General features: G+C 47.3%; 1 protein-coding gene across 11 annotated transcripts in view, besides 10 other annotated features; it reads right to left on the bottom strand.

Moving 5' to 3' along the window:
* Nucleotides 1-15477, bottom strand: part of DNAJB6 (DnaJ heat shock protein family (Hsp40) member B6) — an 80436-nt gene extending 64959 nt beyond the window's left edge. For 5 of the 11 annotated variants that reach the window (NM_058246.4, XM_006715823.3, NM_001363676.1 and 2 more), the window contains exon 1: nt 15337-15477. The gene's annotated coding sequence lies outside the window, so the exon portion shown is untranslated. Of the gene's footprint in view, nt 1-14669; nt 14928-15336 lie in introns of those variants that run through there. The other 6 variants (XM_047419696.1, XM_047419695.1, XM_047419698.1 and 3 more) reach the window with 3 other exon arrangements.
* Nucleotides 2685-3254: an enhancer, noted in NCBI's record as "H3K27ac-H3K4me1 hESC enhancer chr7:157141921-157142490 (GRCh37/hg19 assembly coordinates)". NCBI's record gives its function as "activates a minimal SCP1, AML or CMV promoter by ChIP-STARR-seq in naive H9 embryonic stem cells {active_cell/tissue: H9 hESC(naive)}" and the evidence as "EXISTENCE:reporter gene assay evidence [ECO:0000049][PMID:30033119]".
* Nucleotides 11422-11942: an enhancer, noted in NCBI's record as "H3K4me1 hESC enhancer chr7:157133233-157133753 (GRCh37/hg19 assembly coordinates)". NCBI's record gives its function as "activates a minimal SCP1, AML or CMV promoter by ChIP-STARR-seq in naive H9 embryonic stem cells {active_cell/tissue: H9 hESC(naive)}" and the evidence as "EXISTENCE:reporter gene assay evidence [ECO:0000049][PMID:30033119]".
* Nucleotides 14245-14294: an enhancer, noted in NCBI's record as "active region_26927". NCBI's record gives its function as "activates an Ori minimal core promoter by ATAC-STARR-seq in GM12878 lymphoblastoid cells {active_cell/tissue: GM12878}" and the evidence as "EXISTENCE:reporter gene assay evidence [ECO:0000049][PMID:35858748]".
* Nucleotides 14955-15144: a silencer, noted in NCBI's record as "silent region_18865". NCBI's record gives its function as "represses an Ori minimal core promoter by ATAC-STARR-seq in GM12878 lymphoblastoid cells {active_cell/tissue: GM12878}" and the evidence as "EXISTENCE:reporter gene assay evidence [ECO:0000049][PMID:35858748]".
* Nucleotides 14955-15526: a biological region, named in NCBI's record as "H3K27ac-H3K4me1 hESC enhancer GRCh37_chr7:157129649-157130152".
* Nucleotides 15023-15526: an enhancer, noted in NCBI's record as "H3K27ac-H3K4me1 hESC enhancer chr7:157129649-157130152 (GRCh37/hg19 assembly coordinates)". NCBI's record gives its function as "activates a minimal SCP1, AML or CMV promoter by ChIP-STARR-seq in naive H9 embryonic stem cells {active_cell/tissue: H9 hESC(naive)}" and the evidence as "EXISTENCE:reporter gene assay evidence [ECO:0000049][PMID:30033119]".
* Nucleotides 15205-15414: a silencer, noted in NCBI's record as "silent region_18864". NCBI's record gives its function as "represses an Ori minimal core promoter by ATAC-STARR-seq in GM12878 lymphoblastoid cells {active_cell/tissue: GM12878}" and the evidence as "EXISTENCE:reporter gene assay evidence [ECO:0000049][PMID:35858748]".
* Nucleotides 15527-16029: an enhancer, noted in NCBI's record as "H3K27ac-H3K4me1 hESC enhancer chr7:157129146-157129648 (GRCh37/hg19 assembly coordinates)". NCBI's record gives its function as "activates a minimal SCP1, AML or CMV promoter by ChIP-STARR-seq in naive H9 embryonic stem cells {active_cell/tissue: H9 hESC(naive)}" and the evidence as "EXISTENCE:reporter gene assay evidence [ECO:0000049][PMID:30033119]".
* Nucleotides 15605-15764: a silencer, noted in NCBI's record as "silent region_18863". NCBI's record gives its function as "represses an Ori minimal core promoter by ATAC-STARR-seq in GM12878 lymphoblastoid cells {active_cell/tissue: GM12878}" and the evidence as "EXISTENCE:reporter gene assay evidence [ECO:0000049][PMID:35858748]".
* Nucleotides 18299-18378: an enhancer, noted in NCBI's record as "active region_26926". NCBI's record gives its function as "activates an Ori minimal core promoter by ATAC-STARR-seq in GM12878 lymphoblastoid cells {active_cell/tissue: GM12878}" and the evidence as "EXISTENCE:reporter gene assay evidence [ECO:0000049][PMID:35858748]".

The raw sequence follows: 24325 nt of genomic DNA, 5'->3' as shown, positions 1-24325 counted from the left end.
TCATTCCACATTCAACTGAATAAATATTCAGAGAGTAATCCACCATCAAATACACACTGCATGATTAAATAAAGCCTTCAGCAATACTGAAGATACTCCTAGCTTACTTGGAGTAAAAAAGAAAATTATATATATATACATATATATGTATATATTTTGAGACAGAGTCTTGCTCTGTCGCCAGAGTAGAGTAGCACAATTTTGGCTCACTGCAACCTCCAACTCCCTGGTTCAAGCGACTTTCCTGTCTCAGCCTCTGGAGTAGCTGGGATTACAGGTGCCCACCACCACGCCTAGCTAATTTTTCTATTTTTAGTAGGGACGGGTTTCACCATGTTGGCCAGGATGGTCTCGATCTCCTGACCTCGTTATCCGCTCACCTCAGCCTCCTAAAGTGCTGGGAATACAGGCGTGAGCCACAAATTGGAGTAAATATTTTAAATTGAGAAGTTTTGTTTTTTTGTTTGTTTGTTTGTTTGTTTTTGAGATAGTGTCTCGCTCTCTGACGCCCAGGCTGGAATGCAGCAGCACAATCTCGACTCACTGAAACCTCCCCACCTCCCGGGTTCAAGCAATTCTCCTGCCTCAGCCTCCCAGCTAGCTGGGACTACAGGCATGTGCCACCACACCGACTAATTTTTTGTGGTTTTTTTTGTTTTGTTTTTTGGGTTTTTTTTAAAGTAGACACAGGGTTTCACCATGTTGGCCAGGCTGGTTTCAAACTCCTGACCTCAGGTGATCTGTCCACCTTGGCCTACCAAAGTGCTGGGATTATGGGCATACACCATATCCAGCCAAACAAGTTTTGTGGTTTTTTTTGTTGTTGTTGTTGTTGTTGTTGTTGTTTTGAGACAGAGTCTCACTATGTCACCCAGGCTGGAGTGCAGTGGCACAATCTCAGCTCACTGCAAACTCCACCTCTAGGGTTCACACCATTCTCCTGCCTCAGCCTCCTGAGGAGCTGGGACTACAGGCATCCACCACCACACCTGGCCAATTTTTTTTTTGTATTTTTAGTAGAGACAGGGTTTCACCATGCCAGCCAGGATGGTCTCGATCTCCTGACCTTGTAGATCCGCCCTCCTCGGCCTCCCAAAGTGCTGGGATTACAGACATGAGCCACCGTGCCCGGCCCACAACAGTTTTTTAATAGAGTTTTTGGTAAAACCATGAGTTGGGAGACAGTCAGGCTTAGTTCTTCCAACTACTATTGACCTTTAACATTCTTTTCAAAGACTCAGAACAAAAACAGTGAGACAGTATTCAAAGACAGGACAGGTATGGTGGCTCAGGCTGAGGGGGGCGGATCACCTGAGGTAGAGAGTTCGAGACCAGCCTGACCAACATGGAGAAACTCTGTCTCTACTAAAAATACAAAATTAACTAGGCATGGTGGCACATTCCTGTAATCCCAGCTACTCAGGAGGCTGAGGCAGGAGAATTGCTTGAACCTGGGAGACGGAGGCTGCAGTGAGCCGCGATTGCACCATCGCACTCCAGCCTGGCCAACAAGAGCGAAACTCTGTCTCAAAAAAAAAAAAAAGACTGGACAAAAGTTAAGCAGCTGGCTAATGTCTGGCATATGCTACCACAGAATCTCAGAATTAAAAAGTTGTTGTCTCTGGCCAGGTCTGGTGGCTAACACCTGTAACGCCAGCTAAGACTCGGGAGGCTGAGGCAGGAGACTCACTTGAACCTGGGAGGTGGTGGTTGCAGTGAGCCAAGATCGCACCACTGCACTCCAGCCTGGGAGACAGAGTAAGACTCCATCTCAAAAAAAAATAAAAAAAAAAAGGTTGTTGTCTCCAAGTACTTCGAGAAAAGTGCCATATTGGGCGTCTTCCTCAAATTCTTATTAAAGGACCTTTATATCACCAAGTTCAAGCTCTGACTCATAAGGCATCCACACTTCAATAACCACTAATTAGTGCAACCTTTCTCTGCCTGAACAAACGCCAGTGACCGGAACTCATTATCTCCAAAGTCAAGCCCTGAATTTTAGTTAACTACAGGAATTCTTCCTTATGCTGGGGAGCGGGGGTCTCCAAGGAATTTTCACCCTTTGGTCCTTATTCAAATTATGCGATACAGGTTCAATTTCTCTTCCGCATAGTTACCTTTGGATATTTGGGGGCTTTATCTTGGCAAGTTTTTCTGTCTCTAGGCAAATATACCCTTACAATTCTTCACAGTTCCTCCTGAGAAACCCTGACCTACCTGGTCCCTCCCCTCTGAGCAAGCTCCAATGTCGTAATGTCTTAGTGCCCCCAGTCCAACACAGATACTCCAGGGACAGTCCAATTGCCACCAACAAAAGATAACAAGACCCACAGCTCTCTTTCTGATCAGGACGGGAAAATGGACCAGGATGCTACAATTAACAATAAAATTCGGGCAGGATGCAATGGTTCATGCCTGTAATCCCAGTGTTCTGGGGACAGAGAATGAGGGAACGCTTGAGCTAAGGAGCTCAAGACCAGCCTGGACAACAAAGGGAGACTCTGAATCTACTAAAAATAAAATAATTAGCCGGGCGTTGGCCAGGCGCGGTGGCTCATGTCTGAAATCCCACCACTCTGGGAGGCTGAGGCGGACAGATCACCTGAGGCCAGGAGTTCGAGACCAGCCTGGCTGACATGACGAAACCGTCTCTACTAAAAATACAAAAATCAGCTGGGTGTGGTGGCATGAACCTGTAATCCCAGTTACTCAGGAGACTGAGGCATGAGAATTGCTTGAACCCGGGAGGCGGAGGTTGCAGTGAGCTGAGATCATGCCACTGCACTCCAGCCTGGATGACAGAGTGAGACTCCGTCTCAAAAAATAAAATAATTAGCCAGGCATGATGGCACAGCGCATGGTCCCAGCTACTCGGGAGGCTGAGGTGGGAGGATGGCTTGAGCCCAGGAGGTCTAGGCTGCAGTGAGCCGTGATTTTACCACTGCACGCCAACCTGGGTGACCGAGCAAGACTCTGACTCAAAAAAAAAAAGTAATAAAACTCTGCTAAGTCCCCTGGTCTTTTCTAACCTGGGGTCACGGTCCTGCCTTCCCATTACCTTTGGGCAGGTGAGACTCTCAAGGGAAGGGAGGGTCACACCTTGCCCAACTGTTTCATTTTAGTGAGACTGGCCCCATTAGTCAACCAATCAAAGCCTTCCTAATGTTAAAAGAATATTGTCATTCTGATTGAATTTAATCATACAAACTTACTATTTATAACACACACTATGCTAGCTTTGGAAATAATAAAAGTCATCAAGTTTAGTGGAAGACAGGCATGTAGACAAATATGCACATGGCCGTTGCAGGGTCTCACACCTGTAATCCCAGCACTACTGGGAGGCCGAGGCTGGAAGACTGCTTCAGCCCAGGAATTCCAGATAAGCGTGAGCAACAACACAGCAAGCCCTCATCTACACAAAAAATAAAAAAAAATTTAAAAAGACAAATATGCACAGAGTGCTGGGGAGATGGTATAGAGACCATGAGGAAAGGAAAAATTAACACTGACATTTTACTGACGAAATGAAAAACAAGAGTAAGCTCCCCAGGCAGAGAACAGAGGCAAAAGTATTCCACACACAAGTAACAGCGTATGCTCAGGCAAAATAACGACAGCACACAGCCCATGTGGGACGCAGCAAGTTAGTAGGGTGGAACGTCAGTGTGAGGGTGCTGGGAGTAAGAGGGAGGGGAGGGAGTCAGGACAAGAAAGAACAGGGCGCAACTGAAGAATTTTACAACTAAGGAATTAGGACTCTTCCACTGTAAGTAGAAGAGTTAAGCGGTGGTGTGAACTCAACAGGAGTATGTGGAAAGATAACTTCTAACTACAAGGGAGATGGACTTAAGAGAGTGATGACTGGACGGCAGGGTTACGAAGATGCTCCAAACGATATGTGCGGGAATCAAAAACGACAGGAATGCAACCAAGCGCAGACAGGAGAGCTATTTAGGAAACTGTTTAGGGTCCTTCTCCAAGGCAAGAAAACTTCACCAACAGGGTTCCATGCACATCCACAAACGCTAGGACTGGTGCAGAAATCTTCCATTCCTATTTAAAATATGGCAATATTAAAAAATAAGACTGGGCGCAGTGGCTCATGCCTGTAATTCCAGCACTTTGGGAGGCCAAGACGGGTGGATCACTTGAGGTCAGGAGTTCAAGACCAGCCTGGCCAACATGGCGAAACCCCATCTCTACTAAAAATACAAAAAATTAGCTGGGCAAGGTGGTGGGCGCCTGTAATCCCAGCTACTCAGGAGGCTGAGGCAGGAGAATCGCTTGAACCCGGGAGGCAGAGGTCACAGTGAGCCAAGATCACGCTACTGCACTCCAGCCTGAGCCACAGAGCAAGACTCCATCTCAAAAAAATAAAATAAGGCCAGGCATGGTGGCTCACGCCTGTAATCCCAGCACTTTGGGAGGCTGAGGTAGGTGGATCACCTGAGGTCAAGAGTTCAAGACCAGCCTGACCAACATGACGTAACACCATCTCTACTAAAAATACAAAAATTAGCTAGGCATGGTGGTGTGCACCTGTAATCCCAGCTACTCGGGAGGCTGAGGCAGAAGAATCGCTTGAGCCCGGGAGGCAGAGGTTGGAGTAAACCAAGATCACACCACTGCACTCCAGCCAGGGTGACAGAGCGAGACTCCAACTCAAAAAAACAAATAAATAAACAAACTTCTTATAACCTGAATGACAACAGGTAATTTTAAACGTGACATGCTAATCATCAAGTCATATGATGCTTAATTAGTTTACTAATAATTGAGGCTTAATTATTAGCCGATTAAGGGGGAAAGGAGCTGGGGCAACAATGTGTTACTGACTCACGTGTCACACATTCTTACAGGTACGTATTCCATCACAGTCATTCTGTGAGTTACTGTTTGTAGGTGAGGAAACGGGGGCTCAAAGGAATTAAGTAAATGTCAATGTTCCAGCAAGTTCAAAACCCAAGTCTGAGCCGAGCACAGTCACGTGCACCTAAAGTCCCAGTGACTCAGAAGGCTGAGGCAGGAGGATGGCTTCAGCCCAGGAGTCTGAGTTCAACCTGGGCAACATACCAAAGACACTGCATCTTTAAAAATAGTAAGAATCCAAGTTTGCCTCCAGAACTCATGCTAGCCTGTATCGTGGCACTATGCTGTCAATGTACACAATTCCAACCCTCAAGGCTATGGGACATTCTCTCACCAGTACTTGAAATCTCAAAATTACCTTTTTAGTTTTCATCAAATGCCAGTAAGACTAACAAATTTAGAATATAAATTAAATACAAATACGCATTACAGAAACAACAAAATGAAAATAGCTGGCCGGGCGCGGTGGCTCATGCCTGTAATCCCAGCACTTTGGGAGGCCGAGGCAGGCGAATCACGAGGTCAGGAGATCAAGACCATCCTAGCTAACACGGTGAAACCCCGTCTCTACTAAAAATAGAAAAAATTAGCCGGGCGTGGTGGCGGGCGCCTGTAGTCTCAGCTACTTGGCAGGCTGAGGCAGGAGAACGGTGTGAACCCGAGAGGTGGAGCTTGCAGTGCGCCGAGATCGCACCACTGCACTGCAGCCTGGGCGACAGAGCAAGACTCCATCTCAAGAAAACAAGAAAAAAAAGAAAATAGCTGAAGGTCTAGAAAGAGAAATCCACGTGTCTCCAAGGAAACCTGCAGAGCTGGCTGAAGTGCTGATGCTGCAACAATCCCCACTGTTTGCTGCAAGCTCACTCCTTACTGCTTCAGTCATCACTGATGTAAGACACAATTTAAAATTTGACAAACTCCATGAAAGGTTACCTGCATTCAAATTTTTTTATTAACCTCAGAATTTCAAGGCTACCTATACATTTCTATCAGTATTTCCCTATAGAAGTATTTTTGGTAACACTATCTTTTTTTTCCTCAGACCTCTCAAAAACAGTGTTTAAAAAAAACTGATAAAACTATATATTAAATATCCAACTGTGTATTAGATGATAAAGCAGCCTGAAGCTGTAGAAATACTAATGCATTCCAAAACAATTTTAAGCAAAAAGTTGCCTAATCAAGATATAAAACTAGGTACCAATTAGCATTATTTGATACATACTTGGACGATTTCCCTAGTCACAGAGAAACTAAGTTGTATCTTTAACTTTTTTTTTTTTTTTTTTTTTACTACTCCTTGCAGAGCAGGGCTACCCCATAGGCAGTGTGCCCGGAGTAGCCTAATATCATTTAAGTGTAAAATACATGGATTCATTTCTTAAAAGACACCATTTGTGGCAATAAAACATTTTAACTGGCCTTCATCTCCCTAAGGTTGGCCCTGAATCCTTCTGGCCCGCCCAGCACTGTGAGGATGAGCACAGAGGACAAAGCTCCTCTACTTCCCTCTTCTCCTGGCCCGTGTGTTCAATGCACATTACAGAAAACAGGTGATCCCAGAAAAATGTGGGCCCTCAGGAGGACTGGAAGGCACACTCAAGCTGCCTTCCCTGCCCAGCGAGAGCCTGGACTCCAGCCCTCCACCCTACAGAAGCTCAGCCAGGAAAAACCAGCTTCCCTCACCAAGAAACCAGTGCATCACCTGCATTTTAAAATAATATACTAAATCAAAAGAAGTAATTTCTACAGCAGATCACTCACATCAGAGCTCTACAAGCATAGGTGTCCATTAGAACCCCACTTGGCAAAAACCTTTTTAAAACCATGCTGCTCAAAAGACTCCATAAGCCAAATGCAGCTATTTAAATCTGAAGTCATTAAAATTATACACAATTTAAAATTTGGCCCCTCAGCAATCTTTGTTTGGATATGACCCCCAAAAGCACAAGGAACAAAAGCCGAAACAGACAAGTGGGATTACATCACACTGAAAAGCTTCTAGACAGCAAAGACACAGGAGTGAAACAACCTTGGAAATGTGCAGAAGGATCACTTGAGCCCAAGAGCTTGAGACCAGCCTGGGCAACACAGTAAGACACCATCTCTACAAAAAGATAAAAAAAATTAGCTGAGTGGGGTGGCACATGCCTGTACTCCCAGCTATGCAGGAGGCTGAAATGGCAGGATCACTTGAGCGCAAGAGATCAAGGATGCTGTGAGCCATGTCATGTCACTGCACTCCAACTTGGACAAGAGACAGGGCAAGGCCCTGTCTCAGAAAAAAACAAAATATATAAAAAATAAAAATTTTAAGCCAGGCGCAGTGGCTCACGCCTGTAATCCCAGCACTTTGGGAGGCTGAGGCGGGTGGATCACCTGAGGTCAGGAATTCAAGACCAGTCTGGACAACATGGTGAAATCCTGTCTCTACAAAAAATACAAAAACTAGCCAGGTGTGGTGGCGGGCGCCTGTAATCCCAGTTACTTGGGAGGCTGAGGCAGGAGAATCACTTGAACCTGGAAGGCAGAGGTTGCAGTGAGCCGAGACCACTCCATTGCACTCTAGCCTGGGCAACAAGGGCGAAACTTCATCTCAAAAAATAAAATAAATAAAAATAAACAAAAAACTTTAAAGTTAAAAATGATAAAATAAAAGTGACAGTGCTGTAAAGTAGCACTTTAAAAGAAATCACAGCTGGGTACAGTAGCTCATGCCTGTAATCCTAACACTTTGGCAGGCTGAGGCAGGGGGATCACTTCAGCTCAGGAGTTCAAGACCACGCTGAGTAACACAGCAAAATCTTGTCTCTACGAAATATAAAAACTCAGTAGGGTGTGGCAGTGTGCACCTGTAGTCCCAGCTACTGGAAGTGGCTGAGGCAGGAAAATCACTTGAGCCCAGGCAGTCGATGCTAGTGAGACGTGAACGCACCAATGCCCTCCAGCCTACGTAACGGAGCAAGACCCTGTCACAAAAATAATAAATTTTTTTTTAAATAAAAAATAAAAAAACAAATAATTTCAGGCTGGAAGGGAATTTGCGTAGAGCAGGAAGATATTCTCTAACTACAAAATTAACTTTTTTTTTTTTTTGAGTTTGAGTCTCACTCTGTTGCCCAGGCTGGAGTGCAGCAGCACAATCTCAGCTCACTGCAACCTCCACCTCCCTGGTTCCAGCGATTCTCCTGCATCAGCCTCCCGAGTACCTGGGACTACAGGTGTGTCCCACAATGCCTGGCTATTTTTTTTTTTTTTTGAGACGGAGTCTCACTCTGTCACCCAGGCAGAGTGCAGTAGAGTGCAGTAGAGGGATCTCGGCTCACTGCAAGCTCCGCCTCCCGCGTTCACGCCATTCTCCTGCCTCAGCCTGCTAAGTAGCTGAGACTACAGGCACCTGTCACCACGCCCAGCTGATTTTTGTATTGTTTTAGTAGAGATGGGGTTTCACCATGCTAGCCAGGATGGTCTCAAACTCCTGACCTTGTGATCTGACCACCTTGGCCTCCCAAAGTACTGGGATTACAGGTGTGAGCCACCACACCCGGCCCATAATTAACATTTCTAATAACAATTATGAAACTTCTTTAAACTATTAACTAGGTCCTACTGTCTATTAAGGAAGCCATAGAAAACTTTTCAATTAAGAAATTAAGAAAAAATATTTCTTAGGAAAACTCGGTTTGTTAATTTCTGCAATTTCCAAAAGCAATACATCTAAATCAAGTTTAAAAAAACGAAAAATCTCTATTAAAACCATGAAAAAAATTAGCCTAATCGCCATTAATCAAAAATAACCTTCTCCAATAAATTCAATGACCTCTAAGTTTAGGACTTTTAAAAAAACACGTCACATAAAGATTAGGCGTGGGTAGCTCATGCGTATAATCCCAGCACTTTGGGAGGCCATGGCAGGTGGATCACCTGGGGTCAGGAGTTTGAGAACAGCATGGCCAACGTGGTGAAACCCCGTCTCTACTAAAAATACAAAACCCAGTCAGACGTGGTGGCGCCTGTAGTTCCAGGTGAGGCAGGAGAACTGCTTGAACCCGGGAGAGTTTGCAGTGAGCTGAGATCACACCACAGCACTCCAGCCGGGGCAACAGAGCAAGACTCCATCTCAAAAAAAAATAGTGGTTTCTAAATTCATCTGAGGCCAGGTGAGGTGGCTCACGCCTGTAATCCCAGCACTTTGGAGGGCCGAGGCACGCAGATCACCTGAGGTGTTCAAGACCAGCCCGGCCAACATGGCAAACCCCTTTCTCTACTAAAAATACAAAAATTAGCCAGGCATGGTGGTGAGCGCCTGTAGTCCCAGCTACTCGGCAGCCTGAGGCAGGAGAATTGCTTGAACCTGGGAGGTGCAGGCGCAGTGAGCCAAGATAGTGCCACTGCACTCCTGCCTGAGCAACAGAGCAAGACTCTGTCTTAAAAAAAAAAAAAAAATTACCTGGGTGTGGTGGTGCACATCTGTAATCCCAGCTACTCAGAAAGAAGGCTGAAGCACAAGAATTGCTTGAGCCTGGGAGGCAAAGGTTGCAGTGAGCCAAGATCACGCCGCTGCACTCCAGCCTAAGTGACAGAGTGAGACTTGGTCTCAAACAACAAAAAAAAAAAGCAAAAACAAAAAAAGTACAGACAGGTAGGAAAAAAAAAAACCCACAGCAGTGAATTTTCATTCCTTATCACACACATCACCTACTTATTTCATTATCCAGTATGTCCTAAAATATTTCTGAAACAAACACAGAAGTTATTTCCCCATTACTCAAGATCAGAGACCATTTCTTCAACTAGCACTCATCACCTATTAGATACTTCCAAGCTTAACTCCCTTTCATTAAAAAATCATAATAGGCCAGGCTTGGTGGCTCACACCTGTAATCCCAGCACTTTGGAAGGTCGAGGAAGGTGGATTGAGGTCACAAGTTCAAGACCAGCCTGGCCAACATGGTGAAACCCTATCTCTACTAAAAATATAGAAGTTAGGCCAGCACGCTGGCTCACGCCTGTAATCCCAACACTTTGGGAGGCCAAGGCAGGCGGATGACCTGAGGTCAGGAGTTGGACAGGGCAAAACCCTGTCTCTACTAAAAATACAAAATTAGCTGGGTGTCGTGGTGCATGCCTGTAATCCCATGTACTCGGGAGGCTGAGGCAGGAGAATCGCTTGAACCTGGGAGGCAGAGGTTGCAGTGAGCTGAGATTGCACCACTGCACTCCAGCCTGGGCAACAAGAGTGAAACTCAAAAAAAAAAAAAAAAAAAAAAAAAAATTAGCCAGGATAGTGGCACGTGCCTGTAATCCCAGCTACTCCGGAGCCTGAGGTAGGAGAATCACTTGACACTAGGAGGCGGAGGCTGGGGTGAGCTGAGATCACGCCACTGCACTCCAGTCTGGGTGACAGAGTGAGACCCTGTCTCAAAAAAAATTATTATTATAATAAAATAGGGCCAGGCTCGGTGCTTCACACCTGTAATCCCAGCACTTTGGGAGGCCAAAGCAGGTGGATCACCTGCTTCCAAACCAGTCTGGCCAACATGGCAAAACCCACTCTCTACTAAATATACAACAATTAGCCAGGTGTAGTGGCGAACGCCTGTAATCTCAGCTACCAGGGAGGCTGAGGCAGGAGAATCGCTTGAACCCCAGAGGTGGAGGTTGCGGTGAGCCAAGATCGCGACACTGCACTCCAGCCTGGGTGACAGTGTGAGACTCTAAAATAAACAAAGCAACACTCGGTTAAGTACTCAGTCTCCAGTGCTGCTGAAACTTATTTTTTCCAACTTTCTTGAATTCTGGATTCCATTATTAATCACAGGAAGGTCATCAGGACATACACAAACTAGAAAGAATCTAATTCAATCAATACTTTCTAAGCACTCTGTGTCCTGGACATTCCTATAAACACAAATAACTTCAGATTCAAAGCCCACCCAAGTGGTACATGCCATCTCAAGGTGGCAGAGAGGAATAAGTATTAGTACACAGTTCATAAGCATACCAACTAGAGCACACACGTATATATGCACAACACAAATATAAAACACACTTTTAATTTAAGCCTTTGGTGGCAAAAGGTAAGTAGAAAAATATCAAAGGGGGAAAAATCATATGTAGTGTAAACTAAATCACCCTTCCAAAGACACGTAATTTTGCAACACAGCTTAAGAATTCTAAAATATGGCCTGGCGCAGTGGCTCACACCTGTGATCCCACCACTTTGGGAGGCCGAGGCGGGTGGATCACGAGGTCAAGAGTTCAAGACCAGCCTGGCCAAGATGGTGAAACCCCCGTCTCTACTAAAAATACAAAAATCAGTCGGGAGCAGTGGCAGGTGCCTGTAATCACAGCTACTCGGGAGGCTGAGGCAGGAGAATCGCTTGAACCCGTGCGGCAGAGGTTGCAGTGAGCCGAGATGGCGCCACTGCATCCAGCCTGGGCAATATGAGATTCCATCTCAACAACAACAAAAAAATCTAAAATCTGGCCAGGCACCTGGCTCACACTTGTAATTCTAGCACTTTGACAGGCCGGGATGAAAGACTCACTTGAGGCCAGGAGTTCGAGACCAGCCTGGGCACACAGGGTGATTCCACCTGCGCGCGCGCACACACACACACACACACACACACACACACACAGCCAGGTGCGGTGGGTCACGCCTGTAATCCCAGCACTTTGGGAGGCGGAGGCAGGGGATCACCTGAGGTCAGGTGTTCGAGACCAGCCTGACCAACATGGTGAAACCGTCTCTACTAAAAATACAAAAATTAGCCAGGCGTGGTGACACGCGCCTGTCATCCCAGCTACCTGGCAGGCTGAAGCAGGAGAATGGCTTGAACCCAGGAGTGCAGTGAGCCAAGACCGCGCCACTGCACTCCAGCCTGGGACACAGAGCAAGGACTCCATCTCAAGTAAATCAGTCAGTCAACTAATCATCAATCAATATTCCTTCTCAAGTAGGATATCTCCAGGAACATGAAACAGGTCAACAGTGATTTATGTCCATACAAAAACATAAAGGGTTTTGTTTGACAAAACACCTCATTAATATCAATACAAAAAAAAAAATCACATTTTTACTAGTTGACTTTTCTGCAGGTAGGCGTTGTCGTTTTTCCATTCCTACATCATCGTTTCTAACATATTCTTGTTTTCACCAACTTTGCTCTTCTTCTCATTAACCTCATTTTTTTGAGTTTGATATTCTCAAATTCTATTCATCCTTGAACTACACCATTTGCTAAATCCTGCCACTGATCCTACTCTTACTCGCTAATGAGCCTGCAGTTACCCGCCTCTCACCACCAGGTGGGGTCCTGCACAAATTTAACCAAACCACATTTTGAACAGAATCATTTCTGAGGAAATGAAAAAGTTTTAAAAAGGTTTCCAAAAAACGCTGTTAATCCAGTGTGTAACCTCGATGCAAATAAATACTAAGAAGTAAAAATCCCGTCAAAACGTCAACTCACAAATACAAAGGCTAATTACATTCTCTTATTCCTCAACAGATATCTGTAAGCATTAACCAATATAGAAGCTGACCTTTACAGCAGACGACAGTAAGGTGTCTGTGCGGTCCCGCGGTGACACCCAGTCCACAGCGACACGTTCAGGATGACTAAAAATACCTGCCCAAGTTATGAAGTGCCCTCTTATAATACTCTTTAAAGTGACAGCCGGACGCGCGGGCTCACACCTGTAATCCAGCACTTTGCGAAGCCGAGGCGGGTGGATCACCTGAGGTCAGGAGTTCGAGACCAGCCTGAACAACATAGTGAAACCTCGTCTCTAATAAAAATAGAAAAAATTAGCTGGGCGTGGTGGCGCATGCCTGTAATCCCAGCTACTCGGGAGGCTGAGGCAGGAGAATCGCTTGAACCTGGGAGGCGAAGTTGCAGTGAGCCAAGATGGTGCCATTATACTCCAGCAGGGGCAAGAGCTAAACTCCATCTCACACACACACACACACACACACACACACACACACACACACACACAAAAGGCCGGGCGCGGTGGCTCATGCCTGTAATCCCAGCACTTTGGGAGGCCGAGGAGGCGGATCACGAGGTCAGGAGATCAAGACCATCCTGGCTAACACGGTGAAACCCCGTCTCTACTAAAAAAATACAAAAAAATTAGCCGGCTGTGGTGGCGGAAGCTTGAAGTCCCAGCTACTCGGGAGGCTGAGGCAGGAGAATGGTGTGACCCCGGGAGGTGGAGCTTGCAGTGAGCCGAGATCGCGCCACCGCATTAATTACGGCCTGGGCGACAGAGCAAGACTCCGTCTCAAAAAAAAAAAAAAAAAAAAAAAAAAAAAAGGTGCAAACAGACCATTCCACCCCCACCTCAGACCTGGATTTAGGTTATCTAGGTTGAAGACTGATGAGGGTGACGGGTACCACTGTCCAAAACAGAGTTAATAGAAGGGAATTACGGGCTTGCTTAAAAATGAAAGCTAATGTACGCCACTCAGTAACAGGTATCACACTGTAATACCATATGCATATTTTAGTCTTCACAACATTCAACACTCCCCACCTAGTGTTCCGGAAAAACTGTCCTACAGCCAGAATTACTTCCCAAACCTAACACTTTCATATCCAGAAGAAAATAAATTTTAAAACACTGTTTTGAAGAGAGTGCTGAACTCATCTCAAATTCTTTAAGAGCTCTGCCCTCTGGAATTCCCAACTTTCTCACCTTCCACAGCACAGATGAAGCCTGGACACTTTCCAAAAGCTTCCCAACCCCTTTGTTCTCCCACTTCCTGTCAAATCTCCACATCTACCAACTTAAGGCAACTTACTTCCCAAATTTCACAGCCTGCGTAATCCACAAAAACCCGCAGCTCGCTGAAGCGTGCATAAAAACTATTCATCCCTTTATCACGGAAGGCAGAAAGAAATGTGAAAGCACAAACTCCAAGGGAGCTTAAGGCCCTCAGGAGTGGAAACAAGTCTGGAGTCGGCGAGGCGCGGTGGCTCGCGCCTCTAATCCCAACACTTTGGGAGGCCGAGGCAGGCGATCACTTTAGGTCATAAGTTCGAGACCAGCCTGACCAACACGGTGAAACCCCCGTCTCTACTAAAAATACAAAAATTAGTCGGACATGGTGGCGAGCACCCGTAACCCCAGCTACTCAGGAGGCTGAGGCAGGAGACTCGCTTGAACCTGGGAGCTGGAAGTTGCAGTGAGTGGAGATCGCGCCACTGCACTCTGGCCTGGGCAACAGAACAGACTCCGTCTCAGGAAAAAAAAAAAAAGGAAGTCTGGAGTAAACCCAGAGAGAACGCGGGACGGGTGGACTGGCGGAGGAGTAAGGCGGCTGCATATAATTCCTTTCAGAAATCATGAATCGTTCTGATACGCAACACTATTTGGAAAAGTGCGGTTAAACACGAAGCAGCAGCAATCAAGCTTTAATGGTTAACGTCTGTTTCCTTTCTTCGGTCTTCACTCTAACTTTTCTACTAAATCAATAATTTGGCTTAAATTGTAGCGACAAATCCTTACTAAAATTCGCAACTCAATAAAAACGTTGAAAACTACAAAGAGCGCCGCTCAGCCTACTCTTCCCAAACAGGCTGAAGCCTCCGAGCTCGCAGGCGGCACCCCTTCGGTGGTGGCACGATCGTTCTACTTGCGCTGTTTCCTGCCCCGTTTACGTGAGAAGTTAGCACAGAAGTTTACGTCTGACTAGCAAACCCATCCTTTAAAAAATTCGCTAGTGCCAAAACCTTTCTCGAGCCAATATATGATTTGCAGTTTACACTGCGTGTGTCACTGACCTTCCTTAGGTAAGAGTTAATGTAAACTTCTTATATAAACTTCAGTTGCATCAACTACGGTGCAGATTCTTTAACGCAAAGCAAAGCAGACAAACATTCTGAGTGAGAAAGGCAGCCTGCTCTTCCACAAACTTCTGAACAATCCGTCCGGAGTTCTAGAAACAGGGCTTTGCGGTCCCCCACCTGCTTCTTCTCCCTCCGAACTTGGCGGCACGGCTGCGGCATTCCTGCTCCGCAAGCCACTCCCGTTTCTGGTTTCAGACGCGAGTGCGGGAGCCTTAGAAAAAGAAGGCGCTCCACGCCTCCCACGCTGCCGGCCCCGCCGAGCCCCAGCCGAGCCCCAGCCGGCCGCTCCCAGGCCGGGCCCCACCCCCAACCGCCGCCGCGGAGGCTGGGCCGCGTTCCGGCAAGGACGCCGGGCGGGGAGGACGCGGCCGGGCGGCCCCAGACCCCAGCCCCGGCCCCGGCCCCAGACCTGACCCAGAGGACCCCGCCCACCCTTCGCCCCGCAACCCCGGCCACGGCCCCCGCCCCGTCCAGTCCTTTCCCCGGCCGGCGACCCCGGTCACCCCCCGCGCTGTTGCCAGGCGCCGGGTGAGGTCCGCCGTCTGCCGGGCGCGCGCGGGGCCCTAGGCGACCTCCCCCGACCCTCGGAACAGACCCTCACCGAGGACAGAAGCGGCCGGTGGCGGGACGCAGGGGAGGCAGGGTGACGGCCCGAATCTCCTCACAGCTCCAGGACTGCTGCGCTGGTGGTGGCGGCGGCTCCTCGCGCTTTCCTTTCTCTCCTTTCTCCAACAACAAACAGGAAATGCGTCACGCGGCGGCGGCACGGCGGCGTCAACTTCCGCCCGACCCTGACGCCGCGCATGCGCAGTTTCCACTGCCCATACCGCGGGCCCAACCTCGGGGGCGCCCGCCCCACCTTCGCGAAGGTTCTCGGCTCTTCCGCCGCCCCGAAGAGCCCAGGAGACTGGGGGCGAGGGGGCGGGGAAGCCCAGGGCGAGGGGGCGGAGCTCGGGGCCGGGTCTACGGTACCGGGGAGCCCAGACGCGCGGAAGGCACAGAGAAGGCCGAGAAGATTCCAAATGGCACTTATTGTTGGGCCAGAAGGAGCCCATTCTGGAAACCGCGAAGTCGTCGCGCCCTTCATCTTCCTCTTGACCGGCGGCCCCCGGAGCGCGTCTGCCGCCTCTCGCTCCGCGGTCCTGCGGTGGAGCTGGGTGGCATCTCCGCACAGCGGGACGAAAGCTGGGGCGCGGGCGCGGGCGCGGGCGGAGAAGTCCCCGAAGGAGAAGAAGAACAAACCAAGCGGCGGCCAGCGAAGGCGGGCGAAGGCGCCGGCCCCCGCTTGTCAATTTAGGGAAGCCCGGATACCCTAAGTTCCCCGGCGAACGGGAGCGCGTGGAGACTTCGCCAGGGAATAGTGACTGAAGGAAACGGAAGCAAACTGTGGCAGAAAATACAGATGAAGCTTTTTAGGTTAAATCGTGGCAGTAGTTTTTCTGAAAACGCGGCGCATTTTGATAGCTGGACTTTAGGTCATCCCCAGGCTTCCTAGCCTTTCCCGCGTCCTCAGGGGTTCTGGTTCTAACCCTGGAGACCAACACCACATGCGTGTAGATGGTGACCAGCAGGAGCAGGGAGTCTCAGACCCAGTGCAGTCAGACAGGCTCCCATTCCCAGTAGCGAAAGGGTCCCGCAGACCCAAAGCCTAAGGAGCCAACAAGCAGTTCGTCCATGGAGCCTGGCCTGGATCTCCCACTGTCTTCCTCTCCAGCATTCAGCCAGATGTTTGCTACTGTGTTGTCTTAGTCCTGGCCCACCTTATCCTTTCCTTTAAGAAATAAAAATCTCAACTGGGTGCGGTGGCTCACGCCTGTAATCCCAACACTTTGGGAGGCCAAGGCGGGCGGATCACCTGAGGTTGGGAGTTCGAGACCAGCCTGACACATGGAGAAACCCCGTCTCTACTAAAAATGCAAAAAAAATTAGCCAGGTGTGGTGGTGCATGCCTGTAATCCCATCTACTGCAGAGGCTGAGGCAGAATAATCGCTTGAACCCAGGAGGAGGAGGTTGCAGTGAGCGGAGATCACACCATTGCACTCCAGCCTGGGCAACAAGAGCGAAACTCTGTCTCAAGAAAAAAGAAAAATCCCTTTTTGTTACACCTTTCCTGAACTTCAGATCCTGTGGCATGCTGACACTGAATTCCGGGGGCCTGCTCAGCCACCTTCTGAACTAACAACGCTTATGAATTCGTGATCGTTTAAGCCTGGGAGATATTCAAGTAAAAGGCACTTTAACACTTGAATCACTTTTGGTTTAAAATAGCTCGTTAGTAATGAAAGAGTTGGAGAAATGCCACCCTGAATTATGCCATATTAGGATACTGATTACTAACTAGTTCACTGATTACCACATTAGTATGCCCTCAAACTGAGGGCACATGGGGACCTGCCAATGCAGGGAGGGGCATTCTGTGAATCCCCCATTATTTACATAAAGACAGATCATCCCAAAGGGACTCAATTGTCTTGACCCCCTCCCTGGAAGTCTCATCCAGGGAAGAATGAGCCAGGATCACGGGAGAAGAGCTTCAAGGGACGTCAGCTGCACACCCAGACAGATTTTGCCACAGGCCACCACCTATTCTGAAGGCAAAAAATCATTTTCTCTCCCCTGAGCTGCCTGCATCTGCCTCCCCTCTCTTCTATGAAGGGGCTGTATAAGCTTCCAGATCTCACTGGATTCTGGGATGCCCTAGTACATGTTATAGATTTGTATACTTTTTCTCTTACGAATCTGTCTATTGTCAGCTTAGTTCAGAGACTCAGTTGTGAAACCTTCAGAGAGTACAGGGAAAATTTTCCGTCTACACCTGCCTCATTTTAGACAACTGGAACACTTGGTTAATGGCTGTAATTGTTATACTTCAAAATGAAATACTGCCCTTTTTTTTTTTTTTTTTTTTTTTTTTTTGAGACAGGGTCTTGCTCTGTCACCCAGGCTGGAGTGCAGTGGTTCAATCATGGCTCACTGCAGCCTTAACCTCCTGGGCTCAAGCAGTCCTCCTGCCTCAGCCTCCCAAAGTGCTGGGATTACCAGCATGAGCCGCTGTGCTGGGCTCATTTTTTGTGTTTCTTAAACTTTAATTGTATTACTGCATGTCATTTCTAGCAAATGATCAGTTAGCAAAGGAAAATCTGACTGGATTCTCTATTCTTATTTGAGACTGAGTCTCTCTGTCTGTCCTCCAGGCTGGAGTGCAGTGGCACAATCTAGGGTCACTGCAACCTCCACCTCCCAGGTTTAAGTGATTCTCTTGTCTCAGCTTCCTGAGTAGCTGGAATTACAGGCATGAGCAACCATGCATGCCTAATTTTTTGTATTTTTAGTTGAGATGCGGTTTCACAATGTTGGCCAGGCTGGTCTCAAACTCCTGACCTTAGGTGATCCACCCACCTCAGCCTCCCAAAGTGCTGGGATTACAGGCATGAGCCACCAAGCCCAGCCTCTATTCTCTTTTTTTACTGGTTATATAAATGACTGTTCAAAAGGAAGAAATAATAGTTTGTGTTAGTATGGGCATCTCATAATAAAACCTAAAATAATCTCAGCAAAGACTGGAATTTCAGATATGTGCACAGCTTGGCACTGTCACATGTAACCTATCTGCTTGCAGATTGATGGAGGTTTAGTTCCATCTCAGTGTGGACAGACAGTACTATCATGGGACATTTTACATGTCAATACGTCCCTACAGTGATTGTGAGCTCATCTTGAAATGTAAGCAGCACAGACATGAATTTTACATTGTAAGTGGTAGGCTAGCCACAAATAGCTTTTCCCCCTTCGAAAAAGAAAATATATGTGTGTGTATGTGTGTGTGTGTATATATATATACACACACACACACACATTAAAACGCGTATCAGGCTGGTCACAGTGGTGCACACCTGTAATCCCAGCACTTTGGGAAGCTGAGGCAGGAGGATTGCTTGAACCTAGGAATTCCAGACCAGCCTAGGTAACACCGCAAGACCCCATTTCTACCAAAAATAAATTATTTTTTTCTGGCACTTTGGGAGGCCGAGGCGAGAAGATTGCTTGAGCTCAAGAGTTCGACAGCAGCCTGGGCAACTTGGTGAAACCCCATCTGTACAAAATATAGCAAAATTAGCCAAGTGCGGTGGCACACACCTATAGTCCCAACCACTCAGGCGGCTGAGGTGGGAGAATCACCTCAGCCCAGGGAGGTCCAGGCTTCAGTAGAGCACCACTGTACTCCAGTCTAGGCAACACAGACCCTGTCTCAAAAATAAATACATAGAAAATTATGACCAGGCACAGTGGCTCACGCCTATAATCCCAGCTCTTTGGGAGGCTGAGGTGGGCAGATTACAAGGTCAGGAGTTCGAGACCAGCCTGGCCAACATGGCGAAACCCCATGTCTACTAAAAGTACAAAAAATTAGCCCGGTGTCGTGGCACATGCCTATATTCCCAGCTACACAGGAGGCTGAGGCAGGAGAATTGCTTGAACCCGGGAGGCAGAGGTTGCAGTGAGCAGAGATCGTGCTTCTGCACTCTAGCCTGGGTGACAAAGCAAGACTCTGTCTCAGGAAAAAAAAAGAAAAAAGAAAATTTTCTGGGCATGGTGGCACACACCTATAGTCCCAGCTACTCAAGAGGCTGAGTAAGAGGACCACTTGAGCACTTGAGACTAGGAGGTCGAGGCTGCAGTGAACAGTGATCATGTCATGGCACTGCAGCCTGGGTGCCAGAGCAAGACTCTGTCTCTAAACAAATACATACATAATTTTTAAGAAGCATGTCAATACAATAAATTTTATCATGAAGAAAAGCAACCAGTACAAAACAAGGTCCCCATCCTGATGGACTTCACATAGCAGTTAGGGAGGACAGGTATAAACACCTTGGAGATTAAATGGTAATATTTAATTAACTCTTTTGAAACAACGAGGTCTTTCAATGACAAGGATTTATCCCAGAAAAGATTTAAGTAGGAGTGAAAAGTCTTTGGAGACCGAGTGCGGTGGCTCACGCCTATAATCCCAGCACTTTGGGAGGCCGAGGTGGGCAGATCCCCTGAGGTCAGGAGTTCAAGACCAGCCTGGTCAACATGGTGAAACCTGGTCTCTACTAAAAATACAAAAAGTAGCCGGGCGTGGTGGCGCATACCTGTAATCCCAGCTACTCGGGAGGCCGAGGCAGGAGGATCACTTGAACCTAGGAGGTGGAGGTCACGGTGAGATGATATCGTGCCATTGCACTCCAGCCTGGGCAACAGGAGTGAAACTCCGTCTCAAAAAATAAAAGAAAGAAAGGAGGAGCGTGGAGAATGTGGATGGATTTGGGGTAATGGCTTGCAGGGAGCCCCGGGGGTTGAGGGCAGCTGAAATGTTCAAGGCCAAAAGTGGACCGAGAAGCTTCATGGGCCAGCAAGCACAGAGGCTGCAGGGCAGAGGGAAGAGGACCCAGTGCTGACTGGGGCCAGACTGGAGGCTGAGTGGCCACAGGGGTGCGAGGCATGGTTCCCTGTGGTGCCCACATCCCCTGATGCCCAATAAAACTTTAGGGCTGATGACGCACTGACTTTACCCACATCAACAAGCCTCGGTTTCCCTATCTGTAAAATAGGAAGAAGGATAGCTACGGATAGCTACTATACTGGTATCAGAAATAAACAGGGCAGTGTATGAGAACTGTGGTATCTCACACACATACTTATTTAATGTTTCTCTAATGAAATCCCTGTGCTCAAACCCTCAGAGGAAAGTATGTAAATCAAAACTGTCAAAGAATACCTAAAATTTGATTACCTTTGAAGAGTCCTATATATAAGTGCTTTACTTGTTACGTTTCCTGCCATCAAAATAAATTACCCACTGCTCATTTTAGAAATGTTAGCTTTAAAAAAGACAAATATTGGCTTAATCCCTGATTATTCAAACACACTAAACAGGAACTTTCTCATGCCTATAATCCCAGCACTTTGGAAAACTGAGGTGGGAGGATGACTTGAGGCCAGGAGTAAGGAACTTTCACTGTATTACAGAATTATTCACATATATTCTTAGAAATCACTTTATCTTATCATCATCAAGATATATTGCTAAGTAAGAAAAAAAGGCAAGGTTTAAAACATTAGAACAGTGTGTATAGCAAGGAGAGAAAGAAAAAGAACATGCATTTGTATAAGAAACTCTGCAATTACACTTAAGACATTGGGGAGTGGGGCAGAAAATACAGAGAAGAGGGGGCTGAGGGTAAAATGATGTTCACTGAATATGTTTTAAACTATGTGAATATATTGCCTGTTAAACATATATATGCTTAATAAAAAATATCAAAATGGTATATATGTTTAATATGTTTTTAAAATATATATGTTTAATAAAAATATCAAAATATATATGTTTAATAGACATAAACGTATATATATACACACACGTTTTTTTTTTGAGACGAAGTCTTGCTCTATCGCCCAGGCTGGAGGGAAGTGGCATGATCTTAGCTCACTGCAACCTCCGCCTCCACGGTTCAAGTGGGTATAAGCAATACTGCCACCTCAGCCTCCCAAATAGCTGGGATTACAAGCATGCACCACCAAGCCCGGCTCATTTTTGTATTTTCAGTAGAGGTGGGGTTTAACCATGTTGGTCAGGCTGTTCTCAAACTCCTGACCTCAAGTGATCCACCTGCCTCAGCCTCCCAAAGTGCTGGGATTACAGGCATGAGCTACCACACTCAGCCTATTCTATTCTTTTAACTTTTCTTTAGCTTTAAAATTGTTTTGGCAGGTTCAGTGACTCATGCCAGCAATTTGGGAGGCCAAAGTGGGCGGATCACAAGGTCAGGAGTTTGAGACCAGTCTGGCCAACATAGTGAAACCCCATCTCTACTAAAAATACAAAAAATTAGCCAGGTGTGGTGGTGTGCACCTGTAATCCCAGCTACTCGGGAGGCTGAAGCAGGAGAATCTTGTGAACCCGGGCAGCGGAGGTTGCAGTGAGCCGAGATTGCGCCATTGCACTCCAGCCCGGGTGACAGTGTGACACTGTCTCAAAAAAAAAAAAAATTGTTTTTAGGCAGGGTGCAGTGGCTCATGCCTATAATCCCAGCACTTTGGGAGGCCAAGGTGGGTGGATCATTTGAGGTCAGGAGTTCGTGACCAGCCTGGCCAACGTGGCGAAACCCTGTCTCTACTAAAAATACAAAAATTAGCCAGGCATGGTAGCGCACACCTGTAATCCCAGCTACTCGGGAGGCTGAGGCAGGAAAATTGCTTGAACCTGGTGGGTGGAGGGTGCAGTGGACAGAGATGACACCACTGCACTCCAGCCTGGGTGACAGTGAGACTCTGTCTCAAACAAACAAAAGAAACAAACGAAAGAAACAAACAAAACTTTTTTTTAAGTTGCAGGGGTTGGGGATGGGCAAAAGAGCAGAAAACTGTTAGGGGTAAGTCCTGAGAAGCAGAGAAGGAAAGAGGAATTTTTTCTTTTTTTTTTTTTTTGAGACAGAGTCTCACCCTGTCACCCAGGCTGGAGTGCAGTGGCACGATCTCAGCTCACTGCATCCTCTGCCTCCCGGGTTCAAGTGATTCTGATTCTCCTGCATGAGCCTCTTGAGTAGCTGGGACTACAGGCACGTGCGCTACCACGCCTGGCTAATTTTTTTGTATCCTTAGTTTCACCATGTTGGCCAGGCTGGTCTCAAACTCCTGACCTCGTGATCCGCCCTCCTCGGCCTCCCAAAGTGCTGGGATTACAGGCATGAGCCACCGCACCTGGCCGGGAATAGGAATTTTCACACACTGTCCTTTATACTTCTTGTTTGAACCTCGTGGCATGGGAATGTATTCACATATAGAATAAATAGACCAAGAGGAAATGTGGAGTAGAAAGGGCGAGACAGAAGCACCTGGTGCTGCGTCTCCACCTCCGGGGTTCCAGCGGGTATAAGCAATACTGCCACCTCAGCCTCCCAAATAGCTGGGATTACAAGCATGCACCACCACGCCTGGCTCATTTTTGTATTTTCAGTAGAGGCAGGGTTTCACCATGCTGGTCAGGCTGGTCAGCACGGGTCAGCACTCCCCGAAGGCTGGCCGCTGGTGGTGACAGATCCCGACTGTGGCAGGAGAGACTGTTGTGTCTGCGTGGCCTTGAAAGTGGGTCAGGCCGGGCTTTCATTGGCAGCTGGTGAGCAGCCTCACACTGCCTCAGGACACTGGATCAAAGATAAGTCAGGCTTCTCTAAACACGAGATGGGCCGTGAGTTTGCTTCTCAGCCTTGCATCCTCTGATTTCTTCGCAGATGGGTTTGTCTCACTTGAGTAGGGGAATTAGATACGAAACACCACTTCGACAAATTCAGCTAATGTGGGCAAGTCCAGCTCCCACACATCCACTACACCAGTTCCATGTAAACTCTCTGTGGCATTAAGCTCCCCATTCCTCCTTCCAGGAAAAGTGTGAGCTCCTGACAATAAGCAAGCACAGGGTCTGTGTCCCAGGAGGAATCCACAGGAGACTCTGTGTGCTCAGGAAACCTGCACACCATTAGAGAAAAAATAATACTGATGATGGGTGATAGTCACAGATCAAGTCACAATTTAATTTCGTGCTAGCTCTGCAAAGTCTTCTATATTCTCCATATATCATTCAGCATTACTTTAGAATAGCTGTGAAAAGAAACTACATACCGGGATCTAGAAACAAAAGAATGAGTTTGATGCCAAAAATTATTTGTAGGTTCTTATTAATCCCAATTGCTTTTTTACTTATTTTATTTTATTTTTTGAGGCAGAGTCTCGCTCTGTCACCCAGGCTGGAGTGCAGTGGCACAATCTCACTTCACTGCAACCTCCGCCTCCCAGGTTAAAGCGATTTCTCTGCCTCAGCCTCTGGAGTACCTGGGACTACAGGCACGTGCTACCATGCCCAGCTACTTTTTGTATTTTTAGTAGAGACAGGGTTTCACCATATTGGCCAGGCTGGTCCCAAACTCCTGACCTCAGGTGATCTGCCCAATTCAGCCTTCCAAAGTGTTGGGATTACAGGCCTGAGCCGCCACATCCAGCTGCTTTTTTTTTTAATTTTATTTTTTTGAGACAGAGTCTTGCTCTGTCACCCAGGCTGGAGTACAGTGGTGCAATCTCGGCTCACTGCAACCTCTACCTCCCAGGTTCAAGTGATTCTCATGCCTCAGCCTCCCGAGGATCTGGGATAACAGGCATGCGCCACCGCACTGGGCCAATTTTGTATTTTTAGTAGAGACAGGGTTTTGCCATGGTGGCCAGGCTGGTCTTGAACTCCTCACCTCAAGTGATCAACCCCCCTCGGCCTCCCAAAGTGCTGGGATTACAGGTGTGAACCACGTGCCCAGCCCCAATTGCTTTTCATTGATCCCTTTATGGCTGACTGGTATCATGGCAGTCACATCACCACTAGGCTCATTTAAATGACAAAAATATCCAAAAATGGTTTGGGGATTTAGTGTTTGTCTTGCTGAGCAATTGATCCGCATGCTCTTTGCAGCTACAGGGATGTTCTCAGCAGCAGCTCAATACATAAGCTTTATTTTATTTATTTATTTATTTATTTAGAGACAAGTCTTGCTCTGTT

The sequence above is a fragment of the Homo sapiens genome, chromosome 7, assembly GCF_000001405.40.
Source record: "Homo sapiens chromosome 7, GRCh38.p14 Primary Assembly".
In the NCBI taxonomy this organism is placed as follows: domain Eukaryota; kingdom Metazoa; phylum Chordata; class Mammalia; order Primates; family Hominidae; genus Homo; species Homo sapiens.
The sequence above is the reverse complement of the archived record's forward strand: the minus strand, read 5'-3'. Positions and strand labels throughout refer to the sequence as shown.